The sequence below is a fragment of the Homo sapiens genome, chromosome 9 (assembly GCF_000001405.40).
Source record: "Homo sapiens chromosome 9, GRCh38.p14 Primary Assembly".
In the NCBI taxonomy this organism is placed as follows: domain Eukaryota; kingdom Metazoa; phylum Chordata; class Mammalia; order Primates; family Hominidae; genus Homo; species Homo sapiens.
This window is the reverse complement of record NC_000009.12, coordinates 94298340-94308676: the sequence shown is the minus strand read 5'-3', so window position 1 is coordinate 94308676 and position 10337 is coordinate 94298340. Positions and strand designations below refer to the sequence as shown.

Genomic DNA, 10337 nt, shown 5'->3' with positions numbered 1-10337 from the left:
TCAAGCAATTCTCCTGCCTCAGCCTCCTGAGTAGCTGGGATTACAGGCATGTGCCACTACGTCTGGCTAATTTTTGTATTTTTAGTAGTGACAGAGTTTCACCGTGTTAGCCAGGATGGTCTCGATCTCCTGACCTTGTGATCCGCCGTCTTGGCCTCCCAAAGTGCTGGGATTACAGGTGTGAGCCACCGCGACCAGCCTTCTTCATTCTTTTCACGGTTATATTTGACTCCATCATGTGTTATTCAATCCATTTCCTATGCTTGAATGTCCAAGCAACTTCCAATATTTTGCAACTATAAATAACGCTGACAAGTAATCATGTGCACCTGTAATTCGTATCACTGGAGGTGACTCTTTTTTTTCCTTCTTGAGATGGAGTTTCGCTGTTGTTGCCCAGGCTGGAGTGCAATGGCGTGATCTCGGCTCACCGCAGCCTCCGCCTCCTGGGTTCAGGACCTCAGCATCCCGAGTAGCTGGGATTACAGGCATGCGACACCACGCCTGGCTAATTTTGTATTTTTAGTAGAGATGGGGTTTCTCCATGTTGGTCAGGCTGGTCTTGAACTGCCGACCTCGTGTTGGCCTCCCAAAGTGCTGGGATTACAGGCATGAGCCACAGCTCCCGGCCCAGTTTCCCTTTGTTGCCCAGGCTGGAATGTAGTGACATGATCTCAGCTCACTGCAACCTCTGCCTCCCAGGTTCAAGCAATTCTCATACCTCAGCCTCCTGAGTAGCTGGGAATACAGGCAACTGCCACCACACCTGGCTCATTTTTTGTATTTTAGTTGAGACAGGGTTTCACTATGTTGCCCAAGCTGGTCTCGAACTCCTGAGCTCAGGCAATCCGCCCATCTGGGCCTGCCAAAGTGCTAGGATTACAGACGTGGGCCACTGCATGCGGCCTGGAGGTGACTCTTAAGGGATAAATTCTTATTTATCCCTGCGCTTGCTTGCTGTGTCAACAGGTATGTGTATATATAATTTAATTAAATACTGCCAACTTCCCTCTATAGGACTTAAAACATTTTGCATTCCCACCAACAATGTATGAAAGTGCCTGTTTCTCCACAGTCTTATCCGTAGAGAGTACGGTTAAGCTTTTAAGTTTTTGACAATCTGATGGGTGAGAAATGGTATCTCAGTGTAGTTGTAATTTACGTTTCTCTTACCATGAGTGAAGTTGAACATCTTTTCATATGTTTATACATCTTTTGGTAAAGAGTCTGTGCATGACTTTTGCCCACTTTTCTATAGGATTTCTAATCTTTTCCCCTCAATTTTTAAAACGTTTACAAAGTAAGGATTAACCCTTTTTTTTTCTTTTTCTTTTGGAGATGGAGTTTCACTCTTGTTGCCCAGGCTGGAGTGCAATGGCGCAACCTGAGCTCACTGCAACCTCCGCCTCCCTGGTTCAAGCAATTCTCCTGCCTCCGACTACCAAGTAGCTGGGATTACAGATGTGGACCACCACGCCTGGCTAATTTTCGTATTTTTTGTAGAGATAGGGTTTCACCATGTTTGTCAGGCAAGTCTCAAATTCCTGACCTCAGGTGATCCGCCCTCCTCAGCCTCCCAAAGTGCTGGGATTACAGGCGTGAGCCACCATGCCCGGCCTCAGGATTAACCCTTTATCAGTGAAGTATGGTGATTTACATGTTGATAAAGATTTTTTGTAGTCATTTGTCTTTTGATGTTATGGTACACTTTGTCCATGCAAACGTTTTTTGGTATTTGTAGACATTATTTATTAATCCTTTACTGGCTCTGGATTTAGAATTAGAAAGCCTCTCCCTATACCAGGTTAAAGATTATTTCATCCAAGTTTTCTTCCAGCATGTTTCTAGTATCTAGCATGTTTCTTCTAGCAACGTGAAAAAATAAAATTTTTTTCACATTGAAATCTCTGACCCATTATAAATTCTCATGTATGATGGGAGGAATGGAATTTTATTACTTTTGAAATGGCTAGTCAATGTCCCATTTATTAAAAGAGTATTTGCCACAGTGATTTGATATTCCACCTTTTGATAGGCATTTTTAATGCATTCTGCTCTTTTGTTACTTTGACCTATTCATGTGCCATTACTATGCTGTTTAAATTATAGAGGTTTTGTCAAGTTTTCAAATCTGGAAGGGCTAGTCCCTCTAAAGCACTTCCTGTGCAGCATTTTTGTTGCAATTCTTTAATTTTCCGTAAGGATTTTAGGATTAACTTATAGTCCACGTCAATGAAAAAACTCATTAGAATTTTTAATGATTGCAAAATTTTGTAAACTATAAGGTTAGTGAGACTGACATCTTCATTATATTGAGATGTTCTCACCAAGAAGAGAGGATGCCTTTCTATTTATTGAAGTCTATTTCTGGTTTCAGTGGTGCTTTATAGTTTTCTACTTGTTGGTTTCGAACATTTTTTATTAAACTTATTCCTAAACATTTTATCTTAATCCAATGTTACCAAAATTGGAGTCACTATTTTTTTTTTTTAAGATGGAGTTTCTCTCTTGTTGTCCAGGCTGGAGTGCAATGGTGCGATCTCGGCTCACAGCAACCTCCACCTCCTGGGTTCAAGCGATTCTCCTGCCTCAGCCTCCCGAGTAGCTGGGATTACAGGCGCCTGCCACTGTGTAGTTTTGGTAGAGACAGGGTTTCTCCATGTTGGTCAGGCTGGTCTTGAACTCCTGACCTCAGGTGATCCACCTGCCTCGGCCTCCCAAAGTGCTGGCATTACAGGCGTGAGCCACCATGCCTGGCCTGGAGTCACTAATTTTATATTTCATTTTGTGCTGTTTTTAGGTATTAACAGCCAGGTTTATCATATTCCAGAGTTCAAACGGAGTAACCCGAAAGATGTTTTGGTGGTATGTTTTTTCTTTTCAAAAGGCCTATAGCTGAATGTTGTGTAGTAGTGTTAAGCATAGTTTTTTTTTTTTTTTTTTTTAACTTTTTTTTTTTTTGAGACAGAGTTTCGCTCTGTTGCCCAGGCTGGAGTGCAGGGGTGTGATCTCTGCTCACTGCAAGCTCCGCCTCCCGGGTTCACGCCATTCTCCTGCCTCAGCCTCTTGAGTAGCTGGGACTACAGGCGCCCGCCACCACGCCCAGCTAATTTTTTGTATTAGAGATGGGGTTTCACCGTGTTAGCCAGGATGGTCTCGATCTCCTGACCTCGTAATCCACCTGCCTCGGCCTCCCAAAGTGCTGGGATTACAGGCATGAGCCACTGCGCCTGGCCAGGCATAGATTTCTTATTTCCATAAAACACTAATATTCGTTTCTGGTGTGGTTTTCTATTAACCCAATTAAATCATTCTTTTCCCCTTCTTTCATCACCATTTTTATCTAAAAGAGAGGTTTCAGATGTAACTAGCAGAGATATTATTTTTTAAAAAGTTCCATACACACACACACACACACACACACTTTCTTTTTTTTTTTTTGAGATGGAGTCTTGCTCTTGTCGCCCAGGCTGGAATCAACGGCGCAATCTTGACTCACTGCAACCTCCGCCTCCCGGATTCAGGTGATTCTCCTGCCTCAGCCTCCCGAGTAGCTGAGATTACAGGTGCCTGCTACCACGCCCCGGCTAACTTTTGTATTTTTAGTAGAGACGGGGTTTTGCCATGTTTGCCAGGCTGGTCACGAACTCCCCACCTCAAGGGATCCACTCACCTTGGCCTCCCAAAGTGCTGGGATTACAGGTGTGAGCCACTGCACCCAGCCTGTTTTTTATTTATATATCATTTATCAGGTCCATTTTGGGTGAATGGCCATAGAAACTTCCATTATGGAAAAACACTTTCAAGTACAAGGTCAATATATATGCTGGAATGGTTATTACTTCTATTTATATTCTCAGTAGAAATTTTTAAACTGCTGGCATGAAATGACCCCATACCACACATATGCGTGTGCACGTTCACGTGCACACACACACACACACGCTTCCCTTGTGACTTCAGCTCTGGCCACTGGATAACTCGCTGAGGCAAAATGGCTTCAGTGAAAATGTGTTGATAAGGGCTGTCCCCAGTGGTCTCAGGGCATCCCCACCAAAGCTAACCCAAAGACTGTCTCCAGCTGAGATGCTGGGGTCAGTGACCTCCATCTGTCATTCTTCTTTCATCTATCCTCCCAAGGCAAATTCTTCCAAACTAAAATCTCTTTTCATTCTGGTGAAAAACCCCTCTGAGCCAGCAGTGGCTCCAAGCACTGGGGAGACTGACCATGCAGTAAACATTCGGTGCTGAAGGAACAGGGCCAGGGCCATTCTTGGTGTAGGCATTTGTCAGGATCTGGGGCATTTGGGCTCTGGGGATCAGGGAACAGGAGGGACTATAACTAAGGGGGCAGTGTCTTGGGCTGGATAGAAGGGTGGGTGGCTTCAGAGCCTTAGCTCCTGATTGGAGTTTTAAGGAAGGTTGTGGCTGAAGGGCTGGATCACTGGCACGTAGGCATAGCTAACATGACAGGGATGTGAATAAATGCCCTTCAATCTGGCATCAGGGAAGGTGAGCATGTGGCCAGTGGCTCTCATCACAGACAATGGAAGACTTAGGAAGAGGTGAGGTTGAAGACCGTAATATCCCTGTCCCATAGGACAGTAGCCTAGAATAAATACGCAGAGTAATTCCTCCATGTCTCCGAAGAGGTTGAATGCCTTGGGGTTCTCCTCAAAGTATCAGTGAATGAGGTACATAGCCAGGTATGCAGCTTTGTAGAGAAGCAGTTTATTAAAACAAAAGACCATAAAATACAAAGGACCACTGTGCAGAAAGTAAAGCATAAACCAACTATCTCATGATCAATGAAGGAAAGCAACTCTTTTTCCTCCATTCCATATCAGGAAAGTGGAACATCTGTTATTGATTTCTGCCATCTTCACACTTATGGAGAAAGGAAAGGAATTCAAGAGAGCACTCTTATGGCAGGCGCTCACGGCTAGATACGAATTTTGGAAGTCCAGAAGGCAGAGTGTTATGGACTAAATTGTGTCCCTCCCCACCCAAATTCATATGTTGAATCCCTAATCCCCAGTGTGACTGTTTTTGCATACAGGACATTTAAAGTTGTAATTAAGGTTAAAACAAGGTCTTTAGGGTGTTGCCCTAATCCAGTATCACTGGTGTCCTTTTAATGAGAGACACCAGGAAAGTGTGTGTACAAAGAATAAGCTATGAGACACCACAGAGGGAAGGCAGCCATCTGCAGGCCAAGGAGAGAGGCCTTAGTAGAAACCAAACCTGCCAACACCTCATTCTAGGACTTCCAGTTTCCTGAACTGTGAGAAGATAAATATTCTATTGCTTAAGGCACCCAGTCTGGTGTTTTCTTATGTCAGCCCTAGCAAATTAATACAGATTTTGGTACTGTGATTGGGATGCTTTGTAACCTAAAATGTGGAAGTGACTTGGAACTGGGTACTCGGTAGAAAGAAGCTACAAGAGTTCTGAGGCACATGTTAGGAAAAGCCTGGATGACCTTTAAAACACTGTTGGTAGGAATGTAGATGTTAAAAGGTTCTGGGCTGGGTGTGGTGGCTCACACTTTGAGAGGGCAAAGCAGGAGGATCATTTGAGGCCAGGTGTATGAGACCAGCCTAAGCAACATAGCAAAAACCCGTATCTACAAAATGTTTGGGGTTTTTTTTTGTTTTGTTTTGTTTTGTTTTTAATTTTAAGGTGATTGTGGTTAAGTCTCAGACAGAAATGAGGAATGGGTAATGGGAAACTGGAATCCTTGCAAAGGACTTGCCCAAATTGCGTTCTAGTGTTTTGTGGAGTACAGAAATTGTGAGTGAGGCAGTGCAGAATATTCAGGTGATATTTCTACACAAAGTGATGCAAGTGGAGTCTGTTTTCTCCTTGCTGCTTATAGTAAAATATTAGAGGAGAAAGATAAATTGAAGGAACTGTTAAGCAAAAAAGAACCAGTACTTAAAGATTTGGAAAATTCTCAGCCTGTCCGCATTGCAAAAAATGAGAAAGTATGTTCTTGAAAGAACACTAGGGTGTGGCTGGACAACCATGTGATAAAGAGATTAGTATAGGTCTGAATGGAACCAATTAACCATCTCACCAGAAATGCTGCCAGCTTGAACTGAATAGAGAAAGAGACAGGACAAAAATGAAGGCAGGCTGTTAGACTTCTGGGATTCTACGGGAAGGTACAATAGAGCTATCCAGTTGCAAACGCACGTTAATCTTCAAGAAAAGGGAAGAATGTGATTCTCAAAGGTTCTAATGGGCCCAGAGAGTACAGGTCTAGAGGGCAAGTGTGTCTCCTCCTCAATTTCAGTGGGCCAGGAGCCGCTGCCAAGGGCCAAGGGAGCGACACTGCAGCTCCCGTGAGCCTAAAAAGCAGGGCTGCCAATCCAGTTGGCCCAGAAGGCAGAGCACTGAGCCAAAGGGGATTATTCTCGAGACTTAAAATCTAATGGAAGTTGCCTTGCCAGGTTTGAGACTTGCTTGGGATCCATCATTCTTCATTTCTTTCTCATGTCTTTCCTTTGGAATGGGGAAGTCCAGCCTCTGCTTGTCCCACCATTGTAGAATATTGTGGAAGCAGATATCTGTCTGGTTTCACAGGATCACACCTGGAGAATTTTGCCTAAGGATGAATTGTACCTAAAGTCTCATTCACACTTGATTTAGATGATATTTAAATGAGATTTTGGATCTAGAGGTGAAGTTGAAATGGGTAAAGAATTTTGGGACTGTTGGGATCATGTGAATGTATTTTGAATGTCTGAGGGACCTGAACTTTGGTAGTGGAGTGTTATAGACTAAATTGGGTTTCCCAGAAATTCATATGTTGAAGTCCTAACTGTGTAGTGTGACTGTATCTAGAGATAAGGCCTTTAGGAAGGTTATTAAGGTTAAACGAGGCCATGTGGCTGTGGCTCTATCCAAAATGACTGGTGTCCCTAGAAGAGGAGGAAGCCACACCAGGAAAGCATACACACAGAAAAAAGCCCACGTGAGGACGTGGCCAGAAAGCAGCCATCCGCAAGCCAAACAGAGAGGCTTAAGCAGCAGCCAAACCTACCAATACGTTCATCTGGGACTTCCAGCCTCCATAAATATGAAAATATATTTCCGTTGTCAAAATCACCCAGCCTGGGGTACTTTGTTATGGAACCCCTAGCAAGCCAAGACAAATTGTGAATATAGAAAGTAAACCAAAAATCAACTATCTCATGATCGATGAAAGAAAGCAACATTTTTTTTTTTCCATTCCATTTCAGGAAACTGAAGCATTTACTAGTGATTTCTGCCAGCTTCACACTCACGGGGAAAGGAAAGGTCAGAAGACCTCTTGGGGTAGGAGCTGATGACCAGACTTGGTCCTCCTGTGTCTATGCAAGTGAGACTTCTGGCTAAAGCCACGCCCACACTCCCTGCAGACATACGGCTTCTCCCCAGAATGGGTCCGCTGATGTCGGATGAGGGCAGACTTAAAGCCAAAGCCGCGCCCACATTCATCGCAAATGCAGGGCTTCTCTCCTGAGTGTGTCCTTTGGTCAGAGATAAGGTGTGACTTCTGGCCAAGTCCTTGTCCACACACCCTGTCTACGTAAAGCTCCTCCTCTGAGTGTGTCCTCTGGTGTCGGGTGAGGAGCGACTTAAAGCCAAATGCACGCCCACACTTGGGGCACAGATAAGGCTTCTCCCCTGTGTGTGTCCTCTGGTGTCTGATGAGGGTGACCTTCTGACCAAAGCCACGCCCACAATCAGGGCACAGGTAGGGCTTCTCCCCTGTGTGTGTCCTCTGGTGTCCAATGAGGGTGACCTTCTGGCTAAAACCCCGCCCACACTGGGGGCACAGGTAAGGCTTCTCCCCTGTGTGTGTCCTCTGGTGCCTGATGAGAGTGACCTTTTGGCGAAAGCTGTGCCCACACTCAGCACAGACATAAGGCTTCTCTCCTGAGTGTGTGACCTGGTGACTAAGGAGGAGTGACTGCTGCCTGAAGCTACGCCCACACTCAAGGCACAGGAAGGGCCTCTCCCCTGTGTGTGAGCTCTGGTGCTGGAGGAGTGATGCCTTCTGGCAAAAGCCTCTCCCACACTCAGGACACACGAAGGGCTTCTCCTCCAAGTGCGTCCTCTGGTGTAGAAGGAGGGCTATCTTCTGGCGAAAGCCTCGCCCACACTCCTGACATACAAAGGGCCTCTCCCCGGAGTGAATCCTCTTGTGATTAGTGAGAGAGGATGTATACCTGAAGTGTCGCCCACATTCCCTGCACACATACGGCTTCTCCCCCGAGTGCTTCCTCTGGTGTATGGAGAGGGAGGCCTTCTGGCTAAACCGACGCCCACACTCAGGACACAGGTATGGCTTCTCCCCGGTGTGTGTCCTCTGGTGCTTGATAAGGTCTGATCTCTGGCAAAAGCCTCTCCCGCATTCAGGGCACACATGATGCTTCTGGTGGCTGAACAGGCTTGACTTTTTGCTAAGTCCCAGTCTATAGTTTCCACGTATGACTGCTCCAGATTCTGAAGTGTCTGCTCCCTTCAACATTGTGTCTGACCCCCCAAGACTCATCCTTTGGGCCAGGCGAAGGTCTGTTCCTCCTTCTCTGTTCCCTTCTACCCATTCTACTGGGTCACCTTGATGTGGGCTGAAGAATGTCCTAGAAATTCTGCTTGGCCTCTTTCTTAATGAGCTGTCGGGGCCTTCTGTCTCTCCACTTTCTCCTTTTTCACTAGAGCATCTTGGAGCTTCTAGTTGGAAGTCACCTCCTGCAGATGAGCTTGGGAAGATCTGTGTGGGATGGCCACTTAGCGCATATTGTCTGAGGAGCTGCGAGCTAGAAAAGGCCACCAGGTGGGGAAAACTTGGCTGGAATTCTGTTCTAGGCTCTGCTAGAGAGAAAGTCTTGGTCAGAATCACCACAGGTGACCATGGATTGTAATACCTGCCCAGCAGTTTTCTTCAGATGTTCACAACAAAGACTTATCTTCCAACCCACAAGGGCACATTACATGCTCTATTGCAGCACAGAAAACCCACACTACAAACTAGTCCTATCAGCCAAACTAAAAGGTTCAAAAAAGCATCACAGGCAGCTTCAGCTCTATAAATTGCTGCAAGTAGAGTTACACATTTATCTTCCTTTCTTGGGCGCCGCTCCCTTGCTTTTGCTCCAGCTCAAGCCTATTAAACCTTGCCTGAGAAACATTTGTTCGGCCTGCTGTTTATGCAAGAGCCAAGAACTTGGTGTCTGAGCTGCAGTTAAGAAACAGACTGATTATGATCTTGAAGGTGCTATAAATAAGATCTTAGCATCTGAAGGGGAGCCATGCTTTGGGCTTCCTTGACTGTGGTGACTCAAGTAAGGGGCACCCACGAATCAGATAAGCTGTAGCAAGAGATACTGGCTCCTGTGTGGAATAGGCTTTAGGCCAGGGAGCTTCCATATCAGCCTGATGTGAGTTGTCTCCTGAACTGTATGGACACCCTTAAGTCCTCTTGAAGAAGAGGAATCCCTGATGCTGCCCTCCGGGCAAATGAAGGTGCTGTCCTCTAGCCTCTGGGAAGACTGCAGCCAAGTATATTCCCCGAATAGCATTGCACAACACTACGTACACTGTTTTGCTCAATAATCCAGGATTTTTAAAAAAATCTGGTGAATTAAGGAGAAGCTCAGCGTTTGAAAGTTAATAATAGATGACTTCTCATTAGCATAAAGATGTTTCAGGGATTATACATATTTCGGCTTAAGCATATTCTTATCCATGCACAAAAACTGTTAAAACTATACAAATTGACTTTTTCAAAAAATTTTGTTTCTAGGTTTAAATAGGCTGCCAATTGGAGATAACACTAATTCCCATGATGGTATAAATTAAAGGCTCTGGAAATTGGCAGTGCTTTCAGCTTCCGTAAGTTGATACCGTAACTCCTAGGTAATTATTGACTAAGTTCTTTTTTTTTTTTTTTTTTTTGAGACAGAGTCTCGCTCTGTTGCCCAGGCTGGAGTGCAGTGGCGTGATCTTGGCTGACTGCAACCTCTGGTTCAAGCAATTCTCCTGTCTCAGCCTCCTGAGCAGCTGGGATTACAGGCGTGCACCACCATGCCCGGCTAAGTTTTGTATTTTTAGTAGAGATCGGGTTTCACCATGTTGGCCAGGCTGGTCTTGAACTCCTGACCTTAGGTGAGAGACGGGGTTTCACCATGTTGGCCAGGCTGGTCTCGAACTCCTGACCTTAGGTGATCCGCCTGCCTCGGCCTCCCAAAGTGCTGGGGTTATAGGCATGAGCCACTGCGCTCGGCAGGACTAAGTTCTTATGAGTCATTATGGGACAGCCCTCAATAGAGAAGTCTGCTTTCATT

The 10337-nt window shown here is 45.3% G+C and overlaps 1 protein-coding gene across 5 annotated transcripts in view; it reads right to left on the bottom strand.

Annotated features, from left to right (window-relative positions):
* Positions 1-6847: 6847 nt before the first annotated feature.
* ZNF169 (zinc finger protein 169) overlaps positions 6848-10337 on the bottom strand; it is a 42532-nt gene continuing 39042 nt past the window's right edge. For 3 of the 5 annotated variants that reach the window (NM_194320.4, XM_024447432.2, XM_017014364.2), the window contains exon 5: positions 6848-8862. In NM_194320.4, coding sequence (NP_919301.2) covers positions 7307-8862 — 1556 coding nt within the window. In that variant the 3' untranslated portion in view covers positions 6848-7306. Of the gene's footprint in view, positions 9230-10337 lie in introns of all 5 variants that reach the window. The other 2 variants (NM_001301275.2, NM_003448.3) reach the window with 2 other exon arrangements.